A 14290-nucleotide genomic window follows, 5' to 3' on the forward strand; every position below is an offset into this window, starting at 1 on the left:
CGGTGTAGCATGCAGCCCAGATAATTTGCTGGGGAGAAGATAAGGACCACAGGCATGGCTCAGCCCACACTCCCACCAGCAGGCCTGCCTGCAATGGCAAGCCCATCACAGGGCTCGGCAGATTGTGCAAGAGCCTCCGACTTCACAGGGCCTGAGGTGCACAGATCCATGGATGGCAGGAGGCCCCCTGGGTACTGCTGGCACGGTGGTGCCCACAGGCTGAGATGGGCTCACCTGGAACTCAAACCATCAATACCGGATTCCTTCCACAGTTTGAAAATTGGCATGGCCACATCCAAAAATAACTCATAAGAATTCACATTAGCATTTGGCATTTCCAGCTTGCTCCTGTCAGCCCCATGAGCTCCTCAAACTAGAAATGTCTGGCCTATGTCTCTGCCCTTGCAGAGATCTTTCAGTGTGTCTGGGCCTCTGATATCCTCTCTTTCTCACGTGCTCTTCCACGGCCCAGCCCCTACTGCTTCTCTGAACACAAACACCCCTGATATGCCACCTGTGCAGCTTTCTCCTGGGGGGACTCCCCGCGGAAAAGGCAGCCTTCTGAGCCCCTTCATCCTCCAGGTTGCCATTGATCAGGGAAGGGTTTGTCCCTCCCGCAGGGGGTGGCGCACACAGGGGCAGTTCCCAGGCAGGGGTCTGGAGAGGTCCCCTGAATCCACTCCACTTCCTCTTTCTGACTCTCAGGGCATTTTGCCAGGTGCTCAGGGCTGGGTGCATTATTCCACAAGGCAGGGACGGGGTCTAATCCGTCCTCGCCGCCCCACATCAGGCAGCTGCTGAACGGAAGCCCGGGAGCCCAGGGGAGCTCTGGGGGTGCAGGCACCAGCTCAGGCTGTACAGCCTCTCCCTGCCGGGTCCGGAGGCTCCTGCTCGGCCTGGGAGCTGCCTGGGGAGACTCCATCCTGAGTCTCCTTTCTGGGCACCTGCTGTCACCATGGCACAGACCACGTGGGACCATCCCGATTGCTGCTCCATCTCCCGGGTTGGTTATGGGGGAGATATGGTTGGTTATGGGGGAGATGTGGTTGGTTATGGGGGAGATATGGTTGGTTATGGGGGAAATATGGTTGGTTATGGGGGAGATATGGTTGGGGCAAGCACAGCTTTGCATTTATGAGAGCGCGAGACAGCAATGGATCTTCAGAAAGCTCTAGAACAGGCGGGCTGCTGTGCCTGGTGACCCAGCCTGGTTAGGACACAAAACCTGAGATGGGCTGCTGGAGGAGAGCACTGGGCCTCTAGGCATGCAGGGGCACTCCAGTGTGAGGGCACACCCGCTGACCTCGAGTGTGGGAACACGGCGGGCCTGTGTTCCCTCCGGACCACGAGTTTCCATGTTTTCATTATTTTCCCTTTCATCTTAAGACTCTCGAGATTTGAGCAGCCCCGCATGGCATAAAGAACCCTGCTTACGTGCATGGCACCTGCCTGCTTGAGTTCAGCAGGGCACCTCCAGGAATCACAGGGAAACCAACTCTCTAAACAAGAGGAAAGGAACTCGCCCCCGGTGGACTTTGGATTGGCCGGTCCCAGCTTCTGCCTACACATTGGGCTGGCTGGGGAGGGGCTGCGGCTTCTGGGGACACAGGGACCCAGGCTTCTCCCAGGTCCCCCTGAACTGCTTGTGGAGCCCGTCATTCCGCATTTGTGTGTCACACACGATTTCCTTGAGACCTCCGCCCCTCTCTCCTCGTAAACTCCTCTCCAACAGAGAAAGGAAGCCCTTGTTCATGAGATAACGGCTCCCCTCTCTCCAGTCAGGAACTGAAGCAGAGGTTTCATCAGCCTGGGAGAAAAACAGCCCCTTTGGTTCTCAGTGTGGCCATCTCTCTTGGTGGGCATGTAACTGGCCGCCAGGGTCCCGCAGAGCCTCCCGGAGTTGCTCTCCACGCCCCACACCTGCAGGATGTGAGCTGTGGTCCCTAGCATGGTCCTGGGCCAGAGGCGGATGGGGTGGTCCTGCACTCTTTAAATGAAGGGTAAACAAAGGTGCTTCCTCAAAGTGAATTACTCTGCGTAAACACATATAAGTCTGCGTCCTTTGCTTTTGATCCAAGGACTTGGTCCCATGGAGTTGAAAGCATTTCTTGTCAGATCCGGCCCAATCTCAAAGTTGGAGGCAACAGCGTGAAAGGTGCGTGACTATGCTTGGTTCCTTAGGCCGTCCTCTGTCTGACCCCCCTGCACCCCCGTGACATCAGATCCCACCCCGAGTTGGTGGTCACTTTAGGACTGAGCCTTCTCCTTGGGCTGTGGAGGGTGGGGCCTCTGCCAGGAAGCACTGGAGCCATGTCACCAAGGGCCAGGCCTTACACTCGGCCTCCGGTGATCCTGGAGTTGCACCTGCGTCCTCTGAGAAGCCAGCTTCCTCAACATAGCGGAATGCACACATCTGAAGAAAGCGGTCTCCCCTCCTCTTAGCATCCCAAAGAAACAACAGCTGCCAGGGAGCCACACCAAACCAAAGAAACCCTGACGAGATGAATGACCAAGCGTGTGGAGCCCCAACCTCCCCTCTCCGTCCCCTTCCCTCCCCATTCCCTCCCTTCCCCTGTTCCCTCTTCTACCCACCCCTCCCTTCCTCTATCACCTCTCCTCCCCATCCCCTCTCCTCCCCTTCCCCTCCCTTCCCCCGTCCCCTCTCCTGCCCTGTCCCCTCCCTTTCCCTGTCCCCTCTCCTTCCCATCCCCTCCCTTCCCCTGTCAGCTCTTCTCCCGATCCCCTCTCCTCCCCATCCCCTCCCCGTCCCCTTCCCCTCTCCTCCCTGTCCCCTCCCCTCCCCATCCCCTCCCTTCCCCTGTCCCCTCTTCTCCCCACCCCTCCCTTCCCCTGCCACCTCTCCTCCCTCTCCCGTCTCTTCCCCGTCCCCTCCCTTTTCCCGTCCCCTCTCCTCCTGTCCCCTCTCCTCCCCATCCCCCTCCTCCCCATCCCCCTCCTCCCATCCCCTCTCCTCCCCATCCCCTCTCCTTCCTGTCCCCTCTCCTCCCCTTCCCCTCCCTTCCCCTGTCCCCTCTCCTGCCCTGTCCCCTCCCTTCCCCTGTCCCTTCTCCTCCCTGTCCCCTCCCTTCCCTGTCCCCTCTCCTCCCTGTTCCCTCCCTTCCCCTGTCAGCTCTCCTCCCCATCCCCTCTCTTCCTCATCCCCTCTCCTCCCTGTCCCCTCTTCCCCTGTCACCTCCTCTTCCCATCCCCTCTCCTCCCCGTCCCCTCTCCTCCCCTGTCCCCTCCCTTTCCCTGTCCCCTCTCCTTCCCATCTCCTCCCTTCCCCTGTCAGCTCTCCTCCCCATCCCTTCTCCTCCCCATTCCCTCTCCTCCTCGCCCCTTCCCTTCCCCTGTCCCCTCTCCTGCCCTGTCCCCTCCCTTCCCCTGTCCCTTCTCCTCCCTGTCCCCTCCCTTCCCCGTCCCCTCTCCTCCCTGTTCCCTTCCTTCCCCTGTCCCCTCTCCTCCCCATCCCCTCTCCTCCCTGTCCCTCCTTTCCTCCCCATCCCCTCTCCTCCCCATCTTCTCTTCTCCCTGTCACCTCTCCTCCCCATACTCTCTCCTCCCCATCCCGTCTCCTTCCTGTCCCCTCCCTTCCCCATCACCTCTCCTCTCCGTCCCCTCCCTTCCCATCCCATCTCCTCCACATCCCCTCCCTTCCCCTGTCACCTCTCCTCTCTGTCCCCTCCCTTCCCATCCCATCTCCTCCCCATCCTCTCCCTTCCCCTGTCAACTCTCCTCCTCATCCTCTCTCCTTCCTATCACCTCTTTTACCCTGTCACCTCTCCTCCCCGTCACATCACCTACCTTCTCGTCGCCTCTCCTCCCCCACCCGTCGCCTCTCTTCCCCATCACCTCTCCTCCCTGTCACCTCCATCCCCCTGTCACCTCCCTCTCCATTGCCTCTCCTCCCTGTCACCTCACCTCCCCCATCACCTCTCCTTCCTGTCACCTCCCTCCCCCTCACCTCCTTCACACACTCACGCACTCCCACCTACTCGCTCATCGACTATCCCACAGTCAGGTGCTCACACACACACCAACTCTCCCACAGCCACAGGCACTCACACACCCACCAACTCACCCACAGCCAGGCACTCACCCATCACAGCACTCTGCAGACACATCCCGCCGCCTGCACACGCACTCACACTCACACACATGCGCACACACGTCCAGCTGCCACCCCACGTCTATCATGGGAACCCACTGATGCAGCGACTCCATTCATGTTCAGAGACGTGTGGGGCTTTTCTGTCCACAGGTGTGACCAGACGTCCTGTACAGTGTGGAGCTGTCCCCTGCTTGGAGGTGACTGTCAGTTCCACGCGGAGAGGAGAAGGGCTGCTCTGTGGAGAGGAAGCTGCAGATGGGGGTTCTGGTGCTGGATTGGGAAGAGAGCCTCCGAGCACGTCTGTCTCCGGGAACATTTCTGGGGAACGGTGCGCTCGGCTCCATGCCTCTTCTCAGGTCCCAAGTGAGGTGCGGGGAGGCGCAGCCTGGCCCAGTTCTCACCACTGGGTCAGGCCTGGCAGAGGCGCAGCCAGCAGGACTCAGGTGCTGGGTTGCGGACAGTGGCCTGCAGGTGCCCTGCCGTGGGTCACAGCAGCAACACACCCTTGGCAGCCACAGAAGAAGTCAGGAGGGAGACGCTGCATGCCCCCTCTTTCCTGAGCCCAGGCCCCCAACACACACACATTGTTTTGCGAGCTGGAAGACCCCTGAGTACGCAGGAGAGCCACCAAATGAAAAGGCCTTTGAAGAAAGAGGTTGGGTGCAAGAGACTTGGACACGCACAACGTCCACCCCATCTCACAGGGACACAGGGCCCCCAACATGAGCCTGGCAAAGACGCCCCACGCTTTCTGTGGTCTGATGTTTAGCAAAGGTAGAATGGCTGTCTAAGGGGCCTGTGATTGGAATTTTACGAAATGAGGTGCGAGCAGGTTCCAAGTCCCTGGTTTTCCTCCTCGCTCAGTCCCCCATGAAATTGAGAATGCTTTTGATTTAACCAGCCCCAAACGATCTCTTTATTTCTTTTTCTTTTTCTTTTGAGACGGAGTCTCACTCTGTCACCCAGGCTGGAGTGCGGTGGCGCGATCTCGGCTCACTGCAAGCTCCGCCTCCCGGGTTCACGCCATTCTCCTGCCTCAGCCTCCTGAGTAGCTGGGACTACAGGCGCCCACCACCACGTCTGGCTAATTTTTTGTATTTTTAATAGAGATGGGGTTTCACCGTGTTAGCCAGGATGGTCTCGATCTCCTGACCTCGTGATCTGCCCACCTCGGCCTCCCAAAGTGCCCTTTATTTCTTTAACACTACACTAATTGTAGCAAAAGTGCATCTGTGTCTCTTTTGGTAAGCCTTTGGTTTGTAACATGATAGAATCACTTGAAGCAAAATACTGCAGGGAAGGGAAAGCGCTCACTAACAAAGGTTCCCTCCCAGGCAGCACTTTGTCCTCCTAGCAGAGGCATCCTCCACAGGAGGTCCTGCTTCCCACCAGGGCCCCTCCCCTCCTTGGCGCTGTAGTTCCTGGCAAAGGAGGTCCTGGGAAGGTGAGAGCATCTGCATTTATGATTCCTAGCGGGTCAAACAGCAGCAGCAATGGAGCGGCGGCAGTGCGGCCACGGGATAAGCCACAGCTGAGCGTGGCCCAGGGAGTTTAACAGCTGGAGGCTCGCTAATCCCCAGGGAAACACTCACGCTTCCTGGTGTTACCGTGTGCTTACTGGGCATGAAAGCCTTTTTTTAATGCCTATTTTTAATGATTAATTATATATCACATAATATATTCACAAATAAAGAAATTATCAGATGACATGCTACACTTTTTTGGTGGGGAAAATACAATCAGTATAACAACGTGTACTACAATACATTTTGGTATAGATTTAAAAAAATTAATTGTATGGAGGCATGTTTTGCATATCATATAATTCGCCCAATTCAATTATTATTTATTTTGTTCGTTTGTTTTTGTTTTTGAGATGGAGTTTCGCTCTTGTTGCCCAGGCTGGCGTGCAATGGCGCAGTCTTGGCTCACTGCAACCTCCGCCTCCCAGGTACAAGTGATCCTCCTGCCTCCTGTAGCTCCCCCTGTAGCTGGGATTACCGGCACCTGCCACCACGCCTGGCTAATTTTTTTGTATTTTTAGTAGAGACGGGGTTTCACCATGTTGGCCAGGCTGGTCTTGAACTCTTGACCTCAGGGGATCTGCCTGCCTCAGCCTCCCAAAGTGCTGGGATTACAGGTGTGATCCACCACGCCCAGCCCCCAATTCAATTATTTTTCAAACAATTTACCAAGTTGTGCAACTACCAGCATCCATTGATTTTAGCACCTTTTGATCCCTCCAGTAAAGACCCCTCATGCCATTCCTAGGGAATCCCCGTCCTTGGCAACTGCTGATCTGTCATTTCTGGAGTGGTGCCCTTTTCAGCGGTTGCATGTGAATGGAACCATACGTCATGTGGTCTGGCTTCTTTCATTTAGTACCATTTTTTGAGGTTTCTCTTTTTATGTCATTACATGTATTAGTACTTTATCTAAATCCCAAAGTGCTGGGATTAAAGGCGTGAGCCACCATGCCTGGCCAGGTATTTCTTTATAGCAGTGTGAGAACTAATACAGTCATTATTCAAAGATGTGACACATTGCAAAAAAACATGGCTTGTACAGAGCTGTTGTCACTTTTGTTCACAGCAGCCGTATTCTCACGTCTGGCTGTGCTGCTGTTCCTTCCCACCCGTCCGGAGTAACAACAACAAAAAAGAGCCTCCTCTTCCCTTTCAGACTAAACCATCCTTTGGGAGTTAAAGAGTTTGATGACTGGCTGGGATCTGAGAAATTTACACAGATGTATATTAATCCACACAATCCAATGCGACCAGCAACATGCAGAATCACCCACATGGCACTGGTGGGTCATTGTTGGGAGGCAGGGAGAGTGGGTGGGAGAGACAGCTGGCCCAATAACTGAAAAGAAATGAAATGGGAAGATTTCAGGGAAGCTTGTCTAGGCCAGAGCACACATGTAGGTCCAAGTTTGAGAACTGGCAGGAATCACAATTCCAATTTGTGCAGTAATAACTCACACCAAGTCACTTCCCTACGTGCCAGGCACCGTTTGAGGGGGTGGGGTGCATTTACTCATTGAGTCCTCACCGTGGCCTTGTAGTAGGTGCCATCACATTCCTGTTCACAGACAGGAAGACCTGGGCACAGGGGCTGAGTGCCCCATTGAAAGGGCATGCTAGCAAATGGCACGTTAGAAGTTTGAGTTCAGATGTCCAGGCACTTATCCACCAGCGAACCTAAGGTCTTTCTGCCTATCCTAAGATGGAACACAAAATTAGGCAATGCAAAGGCTACCACGACAACAGTGAGTCCTGAATAAACATGACTCCTGGCCTTCCTCCGTCCTTATGGTTTGTGCCCCCTGAAATCTGACTGTCCCAGCTGGCACATGGGGTGGGCCTAGGCCACAGTTTTGAGTGGGGAAAGATGGTGCAGAGAGGCAGCTTCTCCTCATTACACAGGGCCTCCTTTCTTACTTTATAAAGAGCCCATGCACGTCATAATTGCCTAACATCAAATTCTGATTTGGTAAATTCTGCTGCTCCACAGGGCATGATCTAGCTTCACAATGCTGGCAAAGTATCGCATCACTTCCAAATGCTACTGCACTGTATTTATCTCCGCACCACTGAGCCCACGCTTGGCTCTGGTGAGACAGGACAGGCCCTGGCCACAGCAATCGCTCAGGATGCAGTCATTTTTATCAAAACAACTGTTGATGGCCTGAGGTTTGACGACAGATGTCCTAAGTTCAAACCTCAGCTCTGACACTTCCTCACTTGGTGACCCAGCAGAGAAGTTCCTCTTACTCTCCCAGCCTGGGGTTTCATCGTTTGTAAAATAGGGGGAGTCATGAAACCTGCTATGTAGATTCATGACGAGGACTAAATCAGTCAGAACACTTGGCACGATGCCTGATGTATAGATGTTAGCAACGACAGCACTGCATTGAATCTTGGCAGCCGTCATTTACATAACACACCATTATTTGGGTGCTGTTAAGGAAAGAAAATGCTGGAAATGAAAAGACACTCCATCAACTATAAGACATATCCCAATTTTGGAGCTAGTGGAATGTGAGAAAAGTGTGTGTGTTGAGATGGGTGAGACAGCACTGGGGTTGTTGGGGTGAATCACTCTGCCAGGACCTGGGGGCAGCGGACGACGGTGCCCGGCTGAACAGCGTCTTTGAACATAATCAGAGGGGGAGGCTGGACATGAGATAGTAGGATAGGCAACAGAAAATAGCCCTCTGGTTTGAAAGATGGTAGCACTGCCTCCTGCATCATCTTATTTCTTTATCCTTATTTATCTTTTGCCCCAGATCCCCCAATTACTTACTTTTATCTGAGTATAGCTGATGTATTTTTGTAAGCCTCTTTAAATATTTCCTAGGACAATGTGGTGAGGCGATACATAAGCAAAACAAAATAACATGTATCACAATGCTTTCTTCTAAGGTTGAAAAATGTCTCCCTGTATTCCTTCCATTTCTATTTTTAAGAGCAGGGGTGGGAGGGAGAGGAAAGGAAAGAAGAGGACGCGACAGGGCTGTGCTTCATTGTACTTCAGTAAAACAGCAGAAAAGCGTGTTATTCAGCTATTCCGCATAAAATTATTAAGAGTATGCAGAGACAGGGAGCAGGAAACGCTTTGCATGTTTCAATTATTTATTGCCCCGTAACTAACCGCCCCAAAGCTCAGCGGTGAAGCAACAGTGGATCATTTCCCACCACTCTGGTTGGCTGGACAGCTTCCACTATCTCACCTGGCTCCTCAGTGTGACTGGGGGGTGGGGGGTGGTGGGGCTGGGGGACTCGGGGGCTGGGAGCTGGCAGGGCTGGGGGAATGGAGGCCTGGCGGAGATGGGGGGCTGGTGGGGCTGGGGTGCTAGCAGGGCTGGGGTCTCAGGGGCCTGGGAGCTGACAGGCCTGGGGACTGGCAGGACTTGGGGACGGGGGGTGCTGGGGGAGCTGGGGGCTGGCAGGGCTGGGGGCCTGGGGGCCTGGAGGGCTGGGAGCTGGCAGGGCTGGGGGACTGGGGGCCTGGGGGCTGGGGGCTGGCAGAGCTGGGATACTGGGGGCTGACAGGGCTGGGGGACTGGGGGCCTGGAGGGCTGGGAGCTGGCAGGGCTGGGGGACTGGGGGTCTGGGGGCTAGCAGACAAGGCTGCACCTCTGTCCCAAGTCCTTTCTTTTCAGGCTTCTTCACAGCACAGAAGACTCAGGGGTCCAAGAGAGTAAGAACAAAGCTCAAAGCTCTGCAACCCCAGCTCCAAGACACACATGACATCCTTTTGCTACATTCTATGATGGAAGAAACTCCAAGGCGAAGCGAGCCCGCCTGTCAGTCGAGGGGTAGCAAAGCTCTGGGGTCATGGATCATGTTTGTCATCCACCACGTGAGACCATGTGAGGGTGGTGAGCTAGAATTAGGTGAACATTTTAAAAATTAAAATAGGCTGTCTAATACTGATTTTCTCCTCTTCACATTTCCTTCAATATATACAGGTTGAGCATTTCAAATCCAAAAATCCATAATTTGAAACCTGTGAGTGCCGACATGAAGCTCAAAGGAAATGCTCATTGGAGCATTTCTGATTTCAGATTTACGGATTAGGGATACTCAGCTGCTAAGTATAATGCAAAATTCCAAAGTCCAGAAAAATCCAAACTCCAGAATGCTTCCGGTCCCAAGCATTTTGGATAAGGGATACTCAACTTGTACTGATAAATCATTTTTCTTGAAAAAAAAAGATTTCCCAAGATGTAGCTGATGTGAACACCATGTCCTGGCAGCCCGGCTGCCTCTAAGCAGTGGAGCTGCTCTCGGGCTCTGTGCTGATGAGAAGATGGCAGAGAGGGGGACATAGAGTGGGAGAAGGGGAAAGAGCTGCATGGCCTGGGGTACCTGTGGACTCAGGAAGGAGGAGTGATCCACCTGTCCACCAGTAACCACCATGATGTTCATGATGGAACAGTTTCACACTCCATTAACATAGAATGCTTTTTAAAGAACCTCAGTCATCCGGTAGTAAGAAGACCCAGTCAGGCAGCGTTTGCAGGGCCCCAGGAGACCCAGGCACTGAAGGGGTCAAAAAGCTTTCACCATTTGGCTGGAGGGGGTTATCTTCAGAAAATGATGAGTCAAATATGGGCCATTTGAACTCTCTCAGAAGGGACTCTCTTTTTCTACCTCCTACATGGAGCCACTCAATATGTATAAATACCCCCAAAAGGCCCAAGCTTAGAGTTATGTTTAGAAATTCTGACAAATTAGGGTTGATAAAAACAAGTGATCCAAGGAAAAGAGGATTATAGTCAAGAGCACCAAAGTCTTAAGCAAATGGCAGATATTATATGCAAGATACACGCTATATAGAGTGGAAAGCATAAAAACAAACTTGTTAAAGGTGGTCTCTTTCCTTAAATAACTAGTTAGAAAGAAAAATGTATGCTAATAGAAGATTATAAATAAAAATAGCAACATATTGTCCTAACTCAAGACCTTGTACAGATGCTAATGCATCATCATCATCACCATCATCACTGCCACCATCACCATCATCATTGTCAGCACCACCATCACTATCATCACCATCACTGTCATTATCACCTCATCACCATCCTTATCACCACCATCATCATCATCACCATCATCACCACCATTGCCATCATCACTGTCATCATCATCTCCATTACCATTATCATTATCACCATCATTATTATCATCACCATCGTCATTGTCACCAACATCACTATCATCACCATCACTGTCATTATCACCATCATCACCACTACCACTGTCATTATCACCTCATCACCATCATCATCATCACCTCATCACCATCATCATCATCACCATCATTATCATCACCATCATCATCACCATCATCACCACCATCACCATCATCACCATCATCACCACCATCACCATCATCACCGTCATCATCACTACCACTGTCATTATCACCTCATCACCATCATTATCACCACCATCATCACCATCACCATCATCACCACCACCATCACAGTCATCACCATCACCATCATCACTGTCATCACTCGTCAACACTATCACAGTCATTATCACATCATCACCATCATCGTCATCAGCATCTTGATCACCACCATCATCAGAATGGGAACAAAAAAAGCCCATCATCGTCATCATCATCATCACTATCACTGTCATTATCACCTCATCACCATCATTATCATCACCATCATCATCACCACCATCATCATCATCACCATCATCACCACCACCATCACAGTCATCACCATCACCATCGGCATCAGGAGCACCCCACATTCAAGTAAGCCTCCTGGGTGTCAGGCACTGTGCCAAGTGCTTTCACACACTGTTTCATATGGGCTTCACAAAACTCTTATAGCTTTAACCTGACCTTTTATAGATAAAGTCATATAGATTCAGGAAGCAACTAACTGGACCAGGATCACCAGCTGGCCAATGTAGTTATGGGACGTGAGCCAGGGGTGACTGATTCCAACACCTGTATTCCTAACCACTGTGCTTCCCTGCTCTATAGCAGGCAGTGCCAAAAGTGCTCAGAGATGGCAAAAATGAAAATGATAGAAAAAACTTATCCTCTAAATATGTTGTACAGTGCACATCTGTGCTGTCTTTTATCCTGCCGATGGTTTACTTTTTGAAAAACAACCCATTTCATCTAAGCAACTTGTTTTTAAAAGTAAACCATCACCTATTCTGATTTAATAAGTGGCATACACAAAGTTGAAACTAAAGTCAATGGAAATCAGTTCATAAAATCTTTGGGAAAAACTGAAGCAATCAGTGGTGACAAGGCTGGAACTGAAGATACATTTGACTGGGTTGCCCTCAGAATCCCACGCTCCATAAATCATCCTTGTTCTCTGCCACCCTGAGTTTATCAGGGACGTTCTTGCCCTGTAATTCACCCTGAACCATCATGCTTTAGTTTCAAAAAAGTAATTAAGCACTGCCCAGATAAAAGAGATAAAGATTTAGAATGCATTATACAAGCAGATTAGAATGTGAACACAGAAATCTCAATTAACCTTCTAATCTGTAGGTCAGAAGGAGGGGTCTCTGAGTTACAAGGAGAATACAATGCCAATTTCCTGCAGACCCCATTGAGCTGGTGACAAAATTCAGGTCACAGCTATTAGTTATAATAACAGGAAGAAAACAAAAGATTGTGCAGTTTATTTCTGAAAAGAGTGGTGCCCAGACAAAGCCAATCCCAAACGCTGAGCCTGAGGCGGGGTGGGAGACAGCCTTCCCAGCCAGCTGCAAAGTAACCTTTGAGTTTCCTAAAAATCACTTTCTAGAGGAAAGGAGGCATTGGCATGAGCACATGTGATAAGCAAGGGGAACTTCTCAAGCCCAAAGCACAGTATGGCGGTGGTAGTTCAGGTTCATGTCAAGGCGCATCCTGCACGGCTACCGAAGACTGGCCAACCTGGGCACAATGCCACAGGACCTCTGTCTCCCAGCCTCCGTTTTCCATGTGCTGGGCGGTCAGGATCCTTTGAAGAACTGTTTGGTTGGTAGCTTAGGGAGGTTATTGTTTAGTTATCACAATCACTCATTCAAGGTCTTGGGCATTCTTGAGATGTGCTTGAATGTCCTTACAGATCCCCACGGTGCCTTCTAAAGGTCAGCTGGGAGAGGGACGCAGGCTGCCCATCTTGGAGGTGAGGTGCTCAGAAGTGCTCAGCAATAGGCAGCCTGCATTTGCACCTAGTTCCTCCCACAGCCTCAGCCCAGAGGACAGGGCGAGTCTTTTCTTCTCGTGGGACCCTGGCCTGAGCTTTCTCTGACTCCCTCCCACTCTCCAGTAATTTATCAGCTCATCCCTGTCTCAGCCAGATCTTCAGAAAGTGGAGCCTCCATTTACTAGTGTGTTCTTGAGCTTGGGTGAAACCATGTATGTAGGTACTGGCTGAATGGTGTCCCCCAGATTTCACCTTATTCAAAAGGTGTTGTTACGGATGTAGTCAGTTAACATAGGGTCACACTGGAGTTGGGTGACCCGTGCACCTGGTGTCCTTGTGAGAGGGAGGAAGAGCATGAACACACGTGAAGGCAGCGGGAAGATGAAGGCAGAGACTGGGGGGGTGCGGCCACAAGCCAGGAGCACCAAGGGTAGATGCCACCACCGTAAACCGGGAGACACATGGAACAGGTTCTCCCTCGGAGGCCCCAAAAGGAACCCACCCTGACCCCCCTTGACTTCAGCCTTCTGGTCTCCAGACCTGTGAGAGAATGCATTTCTGTTGTTTACAGCACGGCAGTGCAGCAGCCCCGGGAATCCATCACACAACTGAAAGCCAAGCATGAGAGTTTGCCCTGGCACGAGTCAACCTCAATCAGCCCAGAGTCCCCAGCTGCTTCACATGGAATCTGGTGAGCCTGGCCCCTGCCGGCGGGTGACAGCCAGACTCAGAGACATGACTGGGCCCTTGCAGTCCTCTCCCTTGCCCACACACCATGCCCAGTGCTGCTTGAGAAAGACCCACTGTCCCTGCAGCTCATTCTTGAACCTCTTCTCCTTGTAGGCAAGTATTTTTCACCTACATGTCCCTCATCGTCTTCTTCTAACTTCCTGTCCAAAGCCATCAACTCCCTGGCAATTAGCCTCTCAAGCATTTTACAATATCCTTTCAGGGGTCCCCATCTACTTGTAGTATTTACAGCACAGCATCTGGCCATGGTAGATGTTTTATTAGTTGAATAAATAAATGAGTGGATAAACAAGCAAATGAGAAATAAAATACAGTCATCCCTTAGTATGCACAGGAGATTGGTTCCAGGACCCCAGCAAATACCACAACCTGCAGATGCTCAAGATGACATTGTGTGTGTGGATGATCCGCTCACAGCCTCCCACAGACTTTACATCATCCCTAGACGATCTTGTAACACCCAATACAATGTAAACGCTGTGTAAATAGTTGCTATGCTGTCTTTTTATTTGTATTATTTTTTATTGTTGTATTGTTGTGTTTTCTGAATATTTTGGATCCAAGGTTGGTTGTGGATCCTGCAGGTTTGGAGCTCCAACTGTATTACTCATCTATTTATAAAATAGTTAAAGTTTCAATATGCACATGTCATCAGCAGGGGCCTCTTCCCAATCACCTTCCTTTCCTCTGTCTCCCATCCACCTACCAACACCACCCATGTTCTGTCAAAGGGGATCCAA

The 14290-nt window shown here is 51.4% G+C and overlaps 1 long non-coding RNA gene across 2 annotated transcripts, besides 2 other annotated features; it reads left to right on the forward strand.

Annotated features, from left to right (window-relative positions):
* Positions 979-1887: an enhancer, noted in NCBI's record as "H3K4me1 hESC enhancer chr6:167918438-167919346 (GRCh37/hg19 assembly coordinates)". NCBI's record gives its function as "activates a minimal SCP1, AML or CMV promoter by ChIP-STARR-seq in primed H9 embryonic stem cells {active_cell/tissue: H9 hESC(primed)}" and the evidence as "EXISTENCE:reporter gene assay evidence [ECO:0000049][PMID:30033119]".
* Positions 1888-2795: an enhancer, noted in NCBI's record as "H3K4me1 hESC enhancer chr6:167919347-167920254 (GRCh37/hg19 assembly coordinates)". NCBI's record gives its function as "activates a minimal SCP1, AML or CMV promoter by ChIP-STARR-seq in primed H9 embryonic stem cells {active_cell/tissue: H9 hESC(primed)}" and the evidence as "EXISTENCE:reporter gene assay evidence [ECO:0000049][PMID:30033119]".
* Positions 1984-13988, forward strand: LOC107986546 (uncharacterized). 2 transcript variants are annotated; one of them, XR_007059880.1, is made up of 4 exons: positions 1984-2155; positions 4262-4474; positions 13372-13491; positions 13876-13988. It is a non-coding gene; the product is annotated as an uncharacterized LOC107986546 (long non-coding RNA). The 2 variants fall into 2 exon arrangements; XR_001743898.1 differs by lacking the exons at positions 13372-13491; positions 13876-13988 and adding an exon at positions 6794-6873.
* Positions 13989-14290: the final 302 nt, after the last annotated feature.

Source organism: Homo sapiens, chromosome 6 (assembly GCF_000001405.40).
Source record: "Homo sapiens chromosome 6, GRCh38.p14 Primary Assembly".
Classification (NCBI taxonomy): domain Eukaryota; kingdom Metazoa; phylum Chordata; class Mammalia; order Primates; family Hominidae; genus Homo; species Homo sapiens.